We start from the raw sequence: 19,306 nt of genomic DNA, 5'->3' as shown, positions 1-19,306 counted from the left end.
GGGACTTTTCTCAGTGTTTGATGTCAACCCTTTCAGGAAACTACTTGTAAACTGCAGACTTCTCTGAAGCACCATTGTACATTTAACAGAGAAGGAAGAAATCCCAGGTAGAACTCATTTTCTGTGATGTACATTTAAACCCTTATTATGGGTAAATAGAGGGAAATGATACAGAACCTAGGGCCAAAGGAATGTGTTGATTTCTCCATGGAATCCATGATTCTCTTCATTGGTCCTGACTGGATGTGGTATATCACATTCACGTGAATGTTTATGAAATCATCTATTGTTATTGCAGCAAGGATGGAATATATTCTGGACCTAAGACATTTGGTGGCCTTTGCCTCCTATTGAAATTCAAGAAACTTCAAAATGATTTGAATAATGGTGCCAGAAAGAACCATGCAAACCACAGTGTTCTCTGGCTTGTGCTTGGATTGGGGTGAGTGTGTGGGGAAATCATGTGCAAATTTGAAATTCTCTTAGAGTAGATAAGCTTAGCCCAAGATACCACACTTGGAAGAGAACTTCTCAAGCATGGGCACTTATTTCTTCACTTCTCTGTAATCAAACAGCAAGAAGAGAACAGAGCGGACAGATAAAATAGCTGACATCAGGTTGCAGACTCCCCAGGTGTGCAGTGTCCTAGAGACCAGATCCCTGGAAATGTGTTTCTCTGCGCTCTCCAGGGCCTTGTGGGAAAGCCATGATGTGGGGGGAAGGAAGGAAGGAAGGAAGGAAGGAAGGAAGGAAGGAAGCAAGGAAGGAAGGAAGGAAGGAAGGAAGGAAGGAAGGAAGGAAGGAAGGAGGAGGGAGGGAGGGAGGGAAGGAAGGAAGGAAGGAAGGAAGGGGCAGGGGCTGAGTGAGGTGGTGGACATTCTAGCAGTGGGTTCACCTTGTCATTGTCCCATGTTTAACTCAGTGGAGTTTTAAAATCCATTGTTAAGTTGACTACGTGTATCTTTTACCTGCACTGTCTTTGTTTTTATTTATCCTGTATAGTTCTGTTTCCTTTATTTTCTCCTCAGATATTCCATCGTGTCTTACTGCATTTGATTTTCTCCAAAGATTTGAGTAGTGAGGGTGGAGGTGGTGGGCTGGCAGTAATAAGTATACAGCCTTGAAAATCCACACTAATCAAACAATTTTCCTATGTTGTTTGCCTTTTTTGGTTAATAGCAGATGAAATTGACTCAGGAAATACATCTTTACATACACTATTTCATCACTGAAGATTTTTAAAATACTCTCCTGAATGGTGTACACTTTATTACATAAGAACGCTACATCCAAATGGATATTTTTGTGTAAAGCATACCCTGACTTACTGAAACAAGAAAGGAAACAAAACACTCCTGCAAAATATTAAGTGTGTTTTAAGTGTGGCCTGGTTCCTTTGCCCATTAAAGCAGTCTGTCTCAGCAACAAAAGATGGAATCAACACAGAATAGAATTGGAATTATGCATGTCATTTATAATGAACCTCATTATACAAGGAGGTTTAATTCTATTATGAAGTGCTGCAGTTTGCAATCTTATTGCTATTCAGCTTTGAACAATGACAAAGAAAAAAAATCCCCACCCCATGTCAGAGCTAATCTTTTTTAATGCCCACCATTTTGTATTGTTTATATATTTTCCTTAAAGAGAATTTTCCTGCCATGTTCATTCCAGTCAGCAGTGTGCCCCCTTCACCTTACCCATGTGTAGAGTCTCATTTTCAGCTTTCTTAAGAAAAACTAAAGGATTCCATACATGGTTTTGCTTCTGAGAAGTAATGACACGATGGCTACCACCACAGTTTAATCTGACATTATATTTATAAACAAGAAGGTACATTTACCATCCAGTATAAGCCTCTAATTCCATCAGGGGTGTTTATGTGTCCCTTCTTGACAGAATTACAGCTCAATGGGCATTATTTGGCCCAATGCTCCATCGTAGCTGTGTGCATGGCTCCTAGGTTTAATAAGACTATTTACCATCAAATCCTTTTTCTACACATTTTTATTACTCAACAATAAATACAGAGGTGAGGTTCTGTTTGGTGTGTGCATATTTTGAGGCATTTTGGGGCCATTATTTTTAAGCACCAACTCATAAATTCCAGAATATTGTTTTAAATGCTTGAGCATTTCACCCTGGTGTGGCTGTCATTTCCAATATAACACCCTGGAGACTACACATGTCTACTCGGAATGGTTTACCTTGGGTGTTTGTCAACATCATTTATTTATCTGCACCAAGAAGAGTGTTATATTAGGGCTTGTGAAGACATTGAAGAGAAATAGAAAAAATAACCTTTGCTATAGAAGCTAAATTTGTCGGTTGTGTGCTTAAGGAGACAAAGTACTTGCATGTAAATCTAATGCAAGAAGACTTAAAAAACCACAGTTACCTGGAGGTTAATACATGAACAGTGGACCAGATTTCTCCTGTTCTTTCTCTCACCTTTTCTTCCCTTCTCGCCTTCTCCCTTTTTTTCTTCCTCCTGCAAAGTCTGTGAGATACGGGTTGAGATTCCAGCTCCATCATTTACTAGCTGTGTTTGACTTTGGGCAAGGTATTTAAAATCTCTAAGCTTCATTTTCTTCAGCTGTGGAATAAAGACAGTAATAGTTCCTACTCCCTGTGTATGTTGTTACAATTTCATTTATATGAGTTGTGTATATAAATCACAGTGCTTGGTGCATAGTAACCACTCAATAAATGTTAGCTATTATTTACATTACCTCTTTTTCAACCTATTTTCATTTTAATGAAGTAAATAAAAGTATTGAATTGAATCCTGTGTTTCTGGTAAACAAAAAAAGGGAAACAATGTGTTAGAGAGTTTGTATCTGAACCATTTTGCAACAGTCAACAGAGACCTGAGTTGTAAAAAACTCCAGTTGATACAAAATAAACTACGAAAGTGGCTTTAACATATCTGAACACACAATAGCTAAGACCCAAACTGGGATTAGATACCCCACTATGCTTAGCCCTAAACCTCAACAGTTAAATCAACAAAACTGCTCGCCAGAACACTACGAGCCACAGCTTAAAACTCAAAGGACCTGGCGGTGCTTCATATCCCTCTAGAGGAGCCTGTTCTGTAATCGATAAACCCCGATCAACCTCAAATTAGAGACCAATTTGGAGGCTAGCCAGCAATAGCTGATCTGCTGTAACCTTTGCAACCACCTCCCCACTGAAAAATTTATAACAGCACTGGAGTATATCAGGTAATAAAATGGAATGAATTACGAACACATGCCACAACATGTGTGAACCTTGAACACATTATGTTGAGCGAAAGAAGCCAGTCACAAAAGGTCACATATTGTATGATCTCATTTATGTGAAATGCCTAGAATAGGCAAATCCACAGGCAGAAAGTAGATTCTTGGTTGCCAAGGGATGAGGGAGAGGGGATTTGCAGAGTGACCGGTAGGGGTACGGATTTTATTGATGTGGTGATGAAAATTAGACAGTTGTGATGGTTACATGACTCTGAATATACTAGGAATCACAAATTGTGCACTTAAAAAGTGGATTTTGTGGCATGTGAATTATATCTCAATAAAGTTGTTATAGAAAATATATATCAGACAGAACAGGGTCAAGTTCAGAATTCTGAGGCTCTCACTAGAGATTTTACCATGGTTGGATAACTAATGAATTATTTAATGCTATTTTGTCAGATTTATTCAACAGAAATAAATCCAAATAAGCATCCAACACAAACACACATGCATGCACAAAGACTCACAAGGATATGTGATGTGGTGATATTTCTGAAAATGCAGAATGTATCTGATGACCCAAGGCTGATGTCACTGGAGTAGAGCAGTGAACTCAGCTGAGGAGTGGCGAATGATTCCTGCTCACCCTTCTCTCAGAAACTACCTTTCACCTGCGTTTGCTAGTGAAAAGCTCCCTGTAAAGCAAGTCATCTAAATATAATTACAATCATGATGGTTTAGTGCATTTTGAGATGTAAATTATCATGGGAAAGTGCTGAGGATGGTGGCAAATGAGAAGAAGAAGCAAAGGTACCTATGAGCCCCACTTCTGAAAAACGTACTGGTTAGCACCATAGGAAAAAAGGAAATTAAGGTCAAATAAAATTGGAAAGAAAAGAGCAACATTGGCCAGGCACGGGGGCTCACGCCTGTAATACCAGCACTTTGGGAGGCCAAGGCGGGCAGATCACTTGAAGTCAGGAGTTCGAGACCAGCCTAGTCAACATGGTGAAACCCCGACTCTACTAAAAACGCAAAAATTAGCTGGGCGTAGTGGTGCATGCCTGTAATCCCAGCTACTCGGGAGGCTGAGGCAGAAGAATCTCTTGAACCCAGGAGGTAGAGGTTGCAGTGAGCTGAGATTGTGCCACTGCACTGTAGCCTGGGTGATAGAGTGAGACTCCAAAAAAAAAAAAAAAACAACATTATCATGATTGACAAATGATATGAATATCTACACAGAAAATCCTTAATAAATATAAAAGCTTTTCAGATTCATGAGAGAGTCTACAAGTTTCCCAGGTATAATTTCAAAATACAGCAACACCAAAATTCTACAAAATGAAATTTAAAAGGATGTTTTAAATTACACCCAGAATATAAATTATTTAGTCATGGGCTGAATGGTGTCCCTAGAAAAATTCCCATATGGAAGACCTAAATCCAGTATCTCAGCATGTGACTTTATTTAGAGATAAGGTCTTTAGAGAGGTCATTCAGTTAGAGTGAAGGTTATTAGCATGGCCCCTAATGCAATACAACTGGTGTCCTTACAAGAAGAGGAAATTGTAGCACACCCAGACAGAGGGAAGAGGACGTGAAGACACAGAGAAAACAGAGTCACCCGCAAGCCAAGGGGAGAGGCCCGAAACAGATCCTTCCCTCAGCCTCAGAAGGAACCAGTTCTGCTGACACCTTGATCTTTCAGCCTCCAGCACTGTGAGATGATCAGTGTCTGTGGTTGAGGCCTCCTGGTCTATGTGGTTTTGTTATGGCAGCTCTAGCAAACGAATACATTAAGAAAAAAACTTAAATGTGCAAGTCCTTTTTGCAGAAAATAATATTTTCTTAAAACATGTAAGAATATACCATGATCATAGAGAGGACTTTTAAAGATATTGAGACACTGATACTAAAATGTACAGTTCATTAAAAGGTTGAAAACTAGCAAGAATGCAGGAAGGGCTCACAGGTGGGGTGTTTTCATCTATAAAAACACTTTAAAAACCCAGGAAGAATTGGTGACAATATTTAAATAATTGTAAACATTCCTTTTAAATATAATGAACATAAATATTCTAGATTGCAAAAAAAATTTTAAAAGACATTTATTTAATAATGAAATGTTATCACAAACATCTGCTGATAGTGTATAAAAACCTGAACAGCCCAGGACGTCTTTTGATGGCACAAGAATCAACATAAATAATTTGCATTTGTTAAGGAAAAGCAATGACTGTTTTCAACAACAAAATAATGTGGTATAAATATTGAATGCAAATGTTGTTCACAACTTTTATCATTAAAAGTGGGACATGCCAAATTTTTATTTATTTCTTCATAACAGTCACATACAATTTATTTTTATGGTTCAAATAAAGAAAACTTACTATAATCAATAAGGTGAAAATTAAGATAACATTATGAATCATTTAGTTCTTATAAAGCATTTGAAAAACAAAAACTCTTGAAAACCAAAAAGGGTGCTGATAAAGCAAAAGAAAATACTTAGAATGTGCCACCATAATTGTAAACACTATTCAACATTTAGAAAATATTGAGCATTTTATAACGGACAGTGGGAGCAATGAGGCGGGCCAGGGGGCTGAGGGTTGGGAAATTTCATATTGGATACAGTGTTCAATATTTGAGTGATGGGTACACCGGAGACCAGTCCCTACCATCATGCAAAATACCTGTGCAACAAATATGCAAAGGTACCCCTGAATCTACAATACAAATAAATAAATAAACAAGAAAATATTGAGCATTTTGGACACTAAATATTAAATAGAACTTTAAAAAGATTAACATCAGAATAGATATTATTTTGAAAATTAGATTTTTGAGTATTTATCACAAGAATTTTATCCAAATAAAATAGTAACTTTTTGAAAAAACTTAAAAATCAGGGCACTAAAATTTCAATTGCTATTTTTGATAAGTATTTCACATCAAGCTGTTTTAACAATTTACTGAAAAGGTAAAATGCCATTTTTCTGAAGTTAGTAATGTATTTTGATGATCTCAGGGAGCTGAAAGGAATGTCATCTAAAAAACATTAGACCTTATTTTTGGTACATGAGAAAAATATTTTATTTTATTTTTTATTCTATTTTAAACTTGGGGGATTATATAGTAGGTGAATATATTTAGAGAAAAATATTTTAAAGAGATTCACAATAAAATCTGATTAGATTTTGTACAGATTACATTAGGATATATCTATGGAGAAAGTCTGAAGTTTTAGTCAAAATGTAGAAACATTTGTACATATTTAAACGTGGCAACATCTAAGTCATGATACCCATCTATGGGTGTGCTATAAACAATATAAATTGAATAAATCACTTTACCACTAGTTTCGATAAATCTCATGTTTTAACTACATGCCAAATAAATACTAAAGAAAATTAAACCATATGTCTGAAGTGATAGAGTTGAAATAAGAAAAACCAGAGGAATATGGAAGTGTCGATAGTGGCATAGTAGTATAGGACAAGAGTGCCAGGGCAGCAAGAAAAGTTTAAAAATTATATCAAAATGTACAATAGTAATTCAGTGGGGAAACAGGCATGAGAAAATAATTCTTTTGGAAATTTTATTTTAATGAAACTCATTCTGAGAAAAAACAATAGAGACCTGTTTTCTGTGATTCAGGTTGGTCCCATTCTTGCAAATCTCCTTGGATTCAAAATGACCTAATGAATAAAGCTAAGTCAACAGAGGAATCGAACATGCCAATAAGCAACATTTGTGACTTTGATAACAGAGATATTTAGTATATATGAATCTCAGATTGTATACTGAGGCTAGCAAATATTTTGAGTATAATATCTTTGTGCAAAAGAACGTGAGAGAGCAATCAGCAGCATGATGGATGACATCGATGACACACCTTTTCTGCTTAAACTACAAGTTATCTCATGTCCACCCATTCAATGAGTCGTCTTGGGAAGACTTTGATGCAGTTCCCTCAGTCAAATCATTACACTCACTGCATTTAGCTGGTGAGAGTAGTGACAAACAAATGACAAAAACAGTTTTTCATTTATAAACAAATAATTTGGAATTGATGATTTTAGAGAAAATGGTGCTAAATGTATCACATGGTAAGCACTTAAATATATATATATAGTTTAATTCAGTCAGTTAATGGATAAAGGAGGGTATATTTTACTTTCGAGGCATATATTTAATTAATTTGTATGAAAATATATTAATATAGTTTATTATCATACCAGTTGTCAAAAATTTTAGTGTCACAAAACTACCGTTTTTCCCAAAAGGACATCAAGAAAACTTAAATAAAGGAAAGCTGAAAATACAGCAAATCGATTATTACAAGGATCTTATTTCCTTTCAAACTTAGCCAATACTGTAGGCTTAGTGCAATTTCAATCAAAATGCTCGGGAAATTTGGAAGGTGGAGGTTATTGGCACAGGAATTCCACCAAAGTTTGCCAGGAAGATCAATCATATGAAATTAAAGGGCAACATTTTGAGAAAGAAGAGAAACAAGGGCCATTTTTGTCCAGACATAAAACTTCAATGGGCAGATCACTTTGGGTCTGGTGAATGGATCGATGTATTAAATAAATGAATTAGAAACACACTATCATACTTTGGAAACAATAAATGATAAGAGCAGTGTCACAAAATTGTGAAAACAGAAGGATTACGAGTTACATTTTTTTTTCCTGAAACAACGTATTATCCTTTGAGAAAAAAAAAAGAACATTACATATGGTGGAAAATTCAGAGGGAATATTTTTCTCTTCTCAAGAATGTTGAAAAATTATATAGTCACAGAAATAATGGAAGAGAGAATAATGGAAACAATCAGTGCAGTCAACTACATAGAAAGCTTCTTTATTTCTTAAGTCGGCATAAGGAATATTAAAAGGGAAAAAACCACCTAGGGAAAACTGCAACAAACATGACAAAAAATAGATGAATGTACTTCATGCATAAAAACAGAGTATAAGTCAGTTGGTGAAACCGTGAAAGACCTAAGAGAAATGTTTGCAAAGAATGATAAGGGACAATTTATTAAAAAAAGAAAAAAACATGTAACTAGCATATATGGTAAATATATCTTTCTCTCTTTTCAAATTAAACAACTTTTTTATCATGCTAATGGCTTCTCCCCACTGAGGATGCTTATAAAATATATCATGGTGTTTGCTAAGTTTTTTGCTGTAAAGTTACTATTTCCCCTTTGTAATTAATACATATCATGTAGAGAGATACTTTGAGGTTGTACATGCCTTGTTTCTCACATTTCGGGTGCTACTTTAAGCATCCAGTGATGATTTTTGCTTGAAACAATAATTACTGTGGAGTTTGCCAAATTGTATTTTCTATTTTTTATCATTCTTTCTATGTTTATTAGTTGGAATTCTACTGAAGATTCAGACTTCTCTCTTGATGGGGATGACCTGCAGACACCACCACCTATGGTGTCTACCAAATGATTTTCTATTTCTATCATTCCTTCTCCACATTTTAATTAGAATTACATTGTAAAGGCAGATTTCCTGACCATTAGAAAAACAAGCCAAAAACTACATTAATCAAATGATCTAAAAAGTTAACATCACCAGTGCAATGTGTCAAGAATACATCTCTTTTGTCACCAATATAATACTGAAATTCAGTCATGAGGAAATGTGAGGCAAGCTGAAATAGGGAACATTATATAAAATAACTGGCCAGCAGTCCTCAAAAGCATAAAGTCTTGAAAGACAGACTGAGGAAATACCCAGATTAAAGATTATTGTGAAGTGGAAACTACATGCAATCAACATGTGATTTTGCATTATATCCTGGACCAAAAAAATGCACATTAATGGAACAACTGGTGAGACTGACATGAAGTGTGTGGATTAGATAACAGTATTGTACCAATGTTATTTTTTTCTAATGCTTCTATCTTTACTGTGGCTATTTAAGTTGTTATCACTGGGAGAATTGAGGTGAAGGTGAAGATTCTTTGTACTATTTTTGCAACTTTTTAAAAGTCAGTAATTACTTTAAAATTAAAAATTAAACACAAAAATTTAGAGTGGAAAAAAGTGTGCATTGTGAGTGTGGTGGGACTCTACAATCATATGCTCCTTTTGGAGACAGCTTATTGATATACCCCCAAGAAACTTAACAGTGTTCACCATTTTTTCTATGTCACACTTCTGGATGATGAAAGAAATAATCAGAGTTGTATGCAAAAATATATATTATAAAAATTTTCAGAACAGCATTTTAATTTACGTATAAGTGCAGTATATTTATATAAAGCCTGCAGTACAAGCAACAAAAAAATTGTATATTTATTATATATTATTTGATGATATGATATTGAAAAGCCAGCTTGGGCTTTATATACAGGACAAGCCCAAACTAGACCAAAAGCCCAAAAAGGACAATAAGTTTAAAGTGCTTAAATATACGTTGTTATTAAGTATGTTACTGTTAAGTTGATGTGTTTGATGAGTCTTGTAACTTTAATAGGTATCACACACCTAGAAAAGAGAAAAGACAGTTGATCCAACCTCATAGCATCTATTTGGAGCTTTCAGAACATTGGGGGCTTCTCTGAATTTTCTAAGAATTGTTTTTTGTTTTTAGAGCTCTCTATCCCCCGCTTCTAAGCAAAGTAATTGTGTATGCTAATAAGGCTGTGAGCTTGGTCATCACTATGCTGTTCAACAAATTAAAACTGAGCTAGTTCACAGCCATTATACAAGAAAAAGTTTCATAACTTGTGGTGAAAAAATAGAAATCAAAGTTTTATAGCAATATGGTTACAATATACACGATACTTAAATATTTTGTGTTGATGGAGAGAAAGATAAAGTATAGATAATTAGACAGAGGATGGATCGATAGATGATGGAAGGATAGACAGAGGATAGCTAGATAATAGATATGTAGATGATAAATAGAAAGGTAGATAGAAAATAGATATGATAGACAAGAGATGGATAGGTAATAGATAGATAGATAGATAGATAGATAGATAGATAATAGATGGAGAGATCGATTGACAGATGAACAGATGATAGGTGGAGAGAAAGAGATAGACATGATAGATGGATAGATGATAGCTGGAAAGATGAACAGATTATGGCTAGATGAGTGATAAAAAGAGACATGATGGAGAGATAAACAGATGATAGATGGATAGATGAGACATAGACAGATGATGGATAGATGATAGATGGATAGCTAATAGATGGAGGGATAGAAGACAGATGGATAGATGTCAATGGAGAGATAAACAAATTAACAGATGGATAGATAGATAGACAGACAGACAGATGACAGATGGAGAGACGGACAGACAGACAGAGCCACACCACACTGCCCTGGGAGTTGAGGAGCCAGGAGAGCTGAGAGTGAAAGTTGATTCCCTGGTGGCCTGAGTCCAGTCCTTTGATTTCTTCACTAGGTCAAGTTGACTTTGCACACAGATTTCTCCCAAAAGGTTCACTCAGGAAGGTGGACTAGTGTCTTCTTTCTGCCTTTGGTGTCCCCTCACTTTTCTATTCCACTGCCCTGTCTTAGGGGTTTGCATTTTGTAGGGGAAATTGGGACTTGCATGTCACTCTGTGTCAGCCAAGATCGCCCCCAGAAAACAAACGGCTTACTCACAAACTACCGAAATGTGGAAAGTGGGTCTGGGGCTAGCAATTGCAGAATGCCTCCGTGGACCCTGGATGGGCGGGTGAAGAGGAGGGGGTGGCTTCCAGCACCTGAGGAGGGCAACTCTCTAGAGCCTGAGAGGAGCCCAGGTCTGCAGTAAAGGCCAACTCTAAGTGGCAGGCGAGGAGCCAGGAACACCTCCTCCAGCCTCGCTCCGCCCTCGGTCTCCTGATCCTCATTGGCTGATTCAATGGACAAGGACATTTTGACCTGTGAAAGGAAGAGATGGTGGAATTTACAAAACCCTTTCCCAGCTCAAAACAATTACGAAAATGTTCCGTGAACCGAGAAGTGTGAATGACTGACACTTCTGAGCCTGAGATCCAAACAAACCAAATCCTTGTCTTTTGCAGCAGTGTCTTCTGGGGGAAAAATGCCCATTTTGAATGTCAGAAGCGGAATATTTCTCTGGGTATCTCTGAGATAAAATCTTAATTTCCTCTAGACAGTTGTGTATTTGAGATGACTACGGAGGCCATCTCATAAATGAAAATGAAAGAAACGCAACACATCTGTATTCATGTATTTTTCAATATATTTCTCCTATTTCCCTTGCAGAGGAAAAAACGGAGCTAGAAATAAATAAGACAAATTAACATCAGTTTCATCCAGGTAATGGTGTTGTGGGGAGTTCTTAGTTTTGTCTTTCATATTTTTTTTTCTTTCTAAAATGTTCACAATAGTTATTATTTGCTTTTATAATAAGGAAAAAAAAAATACCCTTTTCCCGAAGTTATTATAGTCATATGGGGTGAAAGAAAACTAGAGTTGGAGAAGTTATACTTGGGAAAAATGAGGTAAGCCTAAGAGGCACGTTACCCATCACTACCCTAGATACTCGGAGTTTTTTTCCTTGATACATTTTTATCTTCAGACGCACATAATTATATTAGATTAGCTTTTTGCAGAATCACATTTTTAAAATTCCGTTATAGCCTTACCTTTTATTGAATGTTGTTACTCTTAGACAATTTATGAGACTTCACATGCGTATGTTAAAAGATACCTTATAAAATAAAATTGTTCTTTTCTTAGAACATCTGTCTCCCTTATGTGGCAGTTATTGGGCAATTTCCTGGGAAATTTTTTATTAAAACAGGGGGAAGAAAAGAAATCTCAAGATAAACTATGGAAATTATGGTGTATAAGGCATGATTAAGAGATAGTGTCCCCTTTAACACGGAGATTCTGAAATGACTTTTTCTTTAAGTTTCCATGCCTTTATGCAAATAACTAGAGCCCACTTTTTGCCTCAGTTTCTCGGGATGTGAGATTAAGTTGAGTACAACATGTTCTAAGACAGTCATGAGCATGAGCTAATATTTGGAAATTTTAAAACATTATGATATCCACTTTCCTTCAAAAACTGTCAGTTAAATTGATATTTTCTTCAAGACAGCATAAGAGGTGCCAAATTGAAAGTCAGTTTCTGCAAGGAACGGCTCTGGATCCTCCAGCTTTCATGTTATTTGACGGGAATTAACGCAGAGACCCAGAAGCTCAGCATTTGGGAGAACTGAGTGGCCTGGGCTGCAGTTGTGGTTAAATATTCTTTCTTTTTCTCATTTTTCCCCCAGCATCCTACTTTTTTTTTTTTTTAACTTTTATTTTAAGTTCAGGGATACAAGTACAGGTTTGTTACACAGAAAAACTCGTGTCATGGGGGTTTGTTGTACAGATTATTGCATCACCCAGCTATTAAGCCCAGTACCCATTAGTTATTTTTCCTGATTCTCTCCCTCCTCCCACCCCAGCAGACACATAGACCAATGGAACAGAATAGACAACCCAGAAATAAGACTGCACACCTACAACCATCTGATCTTCAATAAACCTGACAAAAACAAGCAATGGGGAAAGGATTCCCTATTTAATAAATGGTGCTGGGAGAACTGGCTAGCCACATGCAGAAGGCTGAAACTGGAACCCTTCCTTACACTATATACAAAATTAACTCAAGATGGATTAAAGGCTGAAATGTAAAACCCAAAACTATAAAAACCCTGGAAGACAACCTAGGGCAATACCATTCAGGACATAGACACAGGCAAATATTTCATCACAAAGATGCCAAGAGCAATTGCAACAAAAGCAAAAATTGACAAATGGGATCTAATTAAACTGAAGAGTTTGTTCTCATTCTTTTTGTCTTTTTTTCTCTTCCTCTTGCTTTATTTTTTATTTATTATTACAATTTAATGACATCAAAGTGCAAAATAATTATAGTACTTAATATGCCTATTTTTCCGATTTGTTAGAAACAAAGATGCTTAATAAGTTTAGGGTATGAACAAAGCAAAATTTTTTCCTTTTTATTCCTAACATGCTACATGATCTTGAGTACTAGCCATATCTTCTCCGTAGTAATATTATTAGTAGGAGGAGTGGGAGGAGGAGGAGTATTTTAATCAGTCAGACAGAAGCCAAAAAATCAGATGACTTCACTTTAATGTCTGTAAGGATCAAATATTTAATAAACCTAGAATATTTTATCAAACCTCTGGTGACTCAATGTATGTGCAGGGGACAAGCTGAGATGAGAAAACTGGCAGGATCAGCAGCAGGAGGACTTCCTACTACTGAGAAGCGCGTGGGGTATTAAAACATATCCGCATGAACCCCGAACGGGGTTAGTATCAGTCTGAATTTTCCAAATTAGTTTTGCAAATGTAGAAGAGAAATTCAATGCACTAGAACAGACTGCACCCAGCTTTTTCTATTTTCCTGACATAAAACGATATTGTTGCCTTCTTTTTCTTAAATATAAGACGATTCTTTAAGATGTATTTTTTGAGAAAAGAAATGAGTTCTATGCGTCGGGGTTTTAGTTCAGTACGAGCTATAGTAAGACTCGTTTACAAACAAACGCAAAATATCTCTTCAAAGCATACCTTTTGGGGAATAGTAGTTCTATGACAAAGAAACTTAGGACAAGTTCAAAGTGAACAGGCTACTTCTTCCTTTTACTGATAGGTCCTTTAAAATGTCTCAGAAATGGAGTTCTGGATTTTTGTCTGAGTACAATGAAAAACAAAATAAAACCCCTTTCACTAGGTACAATCAAAAGTGCAAAAGTTATTTGTCCCATGGTGTCTGATCTGTAAAATCTGTTAGCCACGGGGCATTTTAGTTCTTTGAAGATTTCATTATGGCAAGTAGAATAACACATAATGTAAAGAATGCATGTACAATATGGAAAACATGCAGCATATAAACTTTTATTGAACTAATTCCCTTCATTAAATATAAGGAGTACCTTTGAACTACTGGGCTAACACCTGCATAGTAATAAGCTTTGTGTGGATTATGATATTTCTATTTGATGTTTAATATTTCTTGGAATCGCCCTGCACATCTAAGCTTTTGCCTTTGGAGGTTAAAGCCTGTGCATTTACAGCCAGCCTAATTGGGAGCTGTGAACTGCTGAGCTCCTCTAAACCAGCAGCGTTTTAAACCCAGCTCTGCCTGTCTGCGTGGCCAGGCTCACTCCCCTTCCCAACCAGGCAGAATTGTGTTCATCGTTTGCAAGCAAGACGGCCCTCGTGCACAGATAACTGCAGCGGCTGCAGCCACTCGCCACGGGGGAGGGCAGACTGTTCTGCAGAATCAAGGAAGAGACGCAATGCTGTTGAATCAGGGTTTGACCTTCCAGGGTTTCTGCAACAAGCGCTTCTGGAATTAAAAATTTTTTAAAAGGAGTCTCAGCAAAGGGTTGTAGAGAGGTGCTTTTGGTGTTGATAATAACAACCAAAACATATGGTCCCTCCCTGTCTAGACAGAATGGTACTGTCCCAGACAGAAAGGTCTCCACAGGCCAGACAGTCCATGTAGCACACCACGCTGCTGAGGGCTCCAAGACACCCCAGTGTGAGGGAGGGGAAGAGGGAAAAACTGCAAGGGTCAGGGATAATTAACAGGACGGATGAGCCAGTAGTGTCTGCTGTGTGTGTGTGTATGTGTGTGTGCGTGTGCACCCTTGAGCATGCATGTATTTGTGTGCACACAAGTGTGCAGTTCTCTGTATGAGACGAATGAGGCTTAGGTTCTTGACCTCAAATTTAAACGCAAGTTCAATACAACAACATGCCACCTAGATTTTTTAATGACACAACTGCAAATAGTAAATTATTTTGAGTCTGACATTGCTTGTCATGGAAGGCAAAATTCTGTTTTGATATTTTATTTTAAAATCAGTTTTCAACCTCAGAATTCAAAAATGCAAAAACTCAGAATTTAAACAATTATGTAGGCCACACCTAAGTTTCCATGGATTTTGTGTTCCAAAGAAAGCATATAAAATGTTATCAGGAGGGTGCAGGTTTTTAAAACTTGACTTGGTAAATTTGACACTTTTAAAACATTTCTCTTCATTTTTCAACCTGAGTTCACAGCTACAAAAGATGGTGATGTGGCTTCCCTGCTCAGGGTGCCTGGCTCTCCTTCTACCTTGTCTGACAGGAGAACACATTTGTTGTTCTAAATAGCTGTTGGTTGTTATTGGTTGCAAAACTACAGCCTGTGTTAATTTTGGGTGCAAGAATCCTAATTTGCTCCTGGATACATCCCTTGTTGAAGACTGCAGGGAAGGTAATATTGTGCCTTTTCTGGTATGATTTATTCTGCACCAAGTGACATAGCAAAATGTACCTGGCTAAGAACAACTTGTACCATGTGCTGATTTGCACATGGAGAAAAAAAAGGCTTCATGTATCTCAGGGTTCATTCCAGTTGGTGCCTATTAAAGAATGAAAATTGTTTCCTCTGCTTACAGACTAGTGCAATTAATTGCCTTTGTCTAGAGATGACACAGATTTGAGAAACACTGTCTGAGATACGGCTATGGAATTTAGCCAGAATCTTGAAGATGTTCACTGCTTCACTCAAAACATTGCAGCATTTTAAAATATGAGAATGTGGCTATTTCTGCCACGGTCATTTCAAGGTGCAATTAAAAAACTTAACGGGTACGGGAGTTTTCTGAAAGATACCGCATAGGAAATTTTTCAGAACTTGTCCGTACTTAAAAGTTATACCGCTGGCGAAGAAGGTGTGAGCAGCAGTAGAGGTGGGCATTATGCCATTCTGCTGCCCAGTTCTTCAGTCTACGGAAACAAGACAGAGTCATGTTCTGTGGGCAGGTGATCTCCACCCTCTCGACAGTCTTGGAGTCTGCCGATGAACTCGTCTTCAGACACATGGAGGCAACGCGGCACTAAACACGGAGGAGCTGGCAGGAGTTGGAAAGTCAAGTTGGGCCTACCTTTATCTTTGGTCCTGGTCCTGCTCCCCTGTCCTTATAGAGCCCGGCCAAGGAAAAGTCAAAGGTTTGCTCGCACGCAGCCAAACACACCAAAGGTTGCCCGAGCTGCAGATGGCCATGCACAGCACACCTATTTTAGTCTATTTTTGTAGACTCTGGACATATGGGCCAGTACTTGGTTTTATGCCTGACATATTACCTAAAATTGTCTTTAATCAGAAGCCTAGAGATAAGTCACTAGAATGGAGAAAATGTGAAAACAAAATATTCAAAACATTGAAAGACCCCAAATAATAGGTACTTTGCACAAAGCACAGGAAAAAACAATTGTACTGAAATGGGTCCTTCAAATACTGGTGAGAGTGGTATAAACCTTCTGAGTTAAAAAAGCTAAAAAATTGTTTCCTTTGGATTTTGGACTAGAATAATTTTAAACTACATTTTTCGGTGTTTATATATTTAAGAATTTAAAACATATTTATAGAAATCCATCATAAAAACTATTTCCCTACAGAAAGAAAATAAAATTCATTTACCACGTAGTCCCATGGAAAAGTTTATTGCTCCTTTATCTTCAACATCAGAATAATCAGTGAATTTTTCTCAAAAAGCTAAAAGTGGATATCATTGTACATAAAAGTACAAAAGTCAACTGCAGAAAAACTAAAAAAGCAATTATTTCTCAACTTTGATCTTCTAGTATTTTTTTCAAGGTACTAAGGTAAAAGCAGTATAAAGGCATATAATTGAAAGACGTGTGAAAAGTGGTTATTTTGCAGGGATAGAATTATGGAAAAATTATATTTTCTTATGAGGTTTTCCATTGTCTAGGTTTTAACCAATAAACCCACACTAATTTTTAAATAATGAAAATACCAGCCGGGCGCAGTGGCTTACACCTGTAATCCCAGCACTTTTGGAGGCTGAGACAGTTGGATCACCTGAGGCCAGGAGTTCAAGACCAGCCTGGCCAACATGGCGAAACACCATCTCTACTAAAAAATACAAAAATTAGCCAGGCGTGGTTGCGGGCGCCTGTAATCCCAGCTACTCCTGAGGCTGAGGCAGGAGAATCGCTTGAACCCAGGAGGCAGAGGTTGCAGTGAGCCAAGATTGCACCACTGCACTCCAGTCTGACGGAGTGACAGAATGAGACTCCGTCTCAACAACAACAACAACAAAATACGGTAAGTAAACGGGGAGATGATGTGCTGATGGGCTGGAGAGACACGGCCCCCCTGCCTGGCTCATTCCCTTGGTTTCTGGGGCTAGAGCTGCTCCAATCCTCCCTGGAGCTCCTTCTCAAATTCCCTCTCAGGCTCTGTTTTCTTGCTGCTCAGGTGTTTCCAGTTCTCTGAGTCCATTTGGGGGCTCTTCGCTTTGTGGCTGTCCCCCGCATACGCTGGCACATGTGGCTTGCTGTCTACACTCTCCTGACCGCCACAATTGAGTCCTCAGCCTGGCCTCCTGCACAGTCAGCCTGTTTGTGGAATCACCTGAGGCATTTCACACAAGCACCTTAAACATAACTTCCCAAGCTGAATCCATCTACCCACCAACCTTCTTTTTCTCCTGGATTCCCAGTCTTCCCACACTGAGGTTTCAATCTGTTAAAAGAAAAACTTCAGCCAAATTAAATGTAAGGGCATTTAATTGAGCAAAGAATGATTGGCAAATTGGGCAGTCTTCTGGCAGCACAGCCACTGGGTGGAAGAAGATTTATGGACAGAACTCGGAAGTGAGGTGCAGAAACGGCCAGATGGCTACAGCTCCGCGTTCCCTTTATTTGAAAAGATTTGAAAAGTTGGCCACCTTTGATAGGCCAACACTTGGTGATTGGCACAAGAGTAGGCTACAGTCTGTTTACAGCTCTATTTAGGTTATAGTTCACGACGTACCAAGAAACCTTTTGGCCGAATGTCACACATGGAAGGAGGCAGCTTGAGGCTAACCTTGCTTTAACACACCCAGTGGAGACTTCAACAAGAAACTCGTGACTTTCCGTGATTCCACCTCTGCCCTCACCCTGTGTCATCAGGCATCAGCCACGGCTGGTCTGCTGGTTCCAGCCTGTACAATGTCTGCGCCGTGCCTCTCACTTTGCCATGGCTGAGAACCTCGTGACTGGTTTCCCTGGACCTCATTCTTATCCTCATTCCCTTCCCATTTATCTCCTTTCAAAGCAGCCAGAGTAATTTATTTTAAAAAGCCAAATGTGAGTATGTTATTCCTCTGCTTCAGACCTGTCAGTGGCTCCCTATTACCCTGAGTTAAATTGAACTTCATAGCTTGGCCAGCAAATTTCACAATCTGCAATCTTTCCCAATCTTCTAATACTACACCTCTGAACTGCTGGACTGAAAAAAGACTGATTTCTTTAGTGAGTCCCACGTTTTCAAGCCTTTCTGAGGTCAACATCCAGTCCTTGCTTCCCAGACTACCCAGACAAAACTCCTACCTGTCACATAAAACTCAGATCTGTGTTCACCTGCCCCCCAAAAAACTCCCTTGAGCACCCCCAACTGAGTTATGAGCCAATCCAGGGTGAATGCCATTTCCTTTAGCCACTGCTTTCTGCTCTACTTCTTGAACTCTCATAGGCAGGCATGATTTTCACCCATTCTGGTATTCCCAGTGCTCTGCATGGCACCTGGCACGTAGTAGATGCTTAAAAAATGTTTGTTAAGAGAATGAATGGATAGGGGCCCCTCCATTAAAGTTTATGACTGTGTATAAACAGATTTTTGAACCATTGAGGTACCAAAAATAATTCCTCCTTGTGACATTTAGGATATGCTATATTTTTTGTAATGTTTTGCTTTCTAAGAAGGTGTACCCTATTTAAAGAGGCTCAGGCCTAAGAAAATAAATGATTTAAAAAATGCAAATAAATTTAGATGGAATTGTTGGACAGGGAAGTCCTCCCATGAATGGGAATGAGCAGGTCTTGAGAGTGACACAGCCTGGACCCAAGTTACAGCCTTGACTGACTCAATGACGTCAATCAGATCATTCTCTCAGCCTCAATTTCTTTATCCAAGACACGTGCTTGTAAGGTTTATCTATCAAAAGCCTACCTTAGCCGGGCATGGTGGCTCACACCTGTAATCCCAGC

The 19,306-nt window shown here is 38.0% G+C and overlaps 1 annotated feature.

Moving 5' to 3' along the window:
• Positions 2,759–3,282: an enhancer, noted in NCBI's record as "OCT4-NANOG hESC enhancer chr13:110076314-110076837 (GRCh37/hg19 assembly coordinates)". NCBI's record gives its function as "activates a minimal SCP1, AML or CMV promoter by ChIP-STARR-seq in primed H9 embryonic stem cells {active_cell/tissue: H9 hESC(primed)}" and the evidence as "EXISTENCE:reporter gene assay evidence [ECO:0000049][PMID:30033119]".

The sequence above is a fragment of the Homo sapiens genome, chromosome 13 (assembly GCF_000001405.40).
Source record: "Homo sapiens chromosome 13, GRCh38.p14 Primary Assembly".
In the NCBI taxonomy this organism is placed as follows: domain Eukaryota; kingdom Metazoa; phylum Chordata; class Mammalia; order Primates; family Hominidae; genus Homo; species Homo sapiens.
Note: the sequence above shows the minus strand (reverse complement) of the source record. Positions and strands in the feature narration are given on the sequence as shown.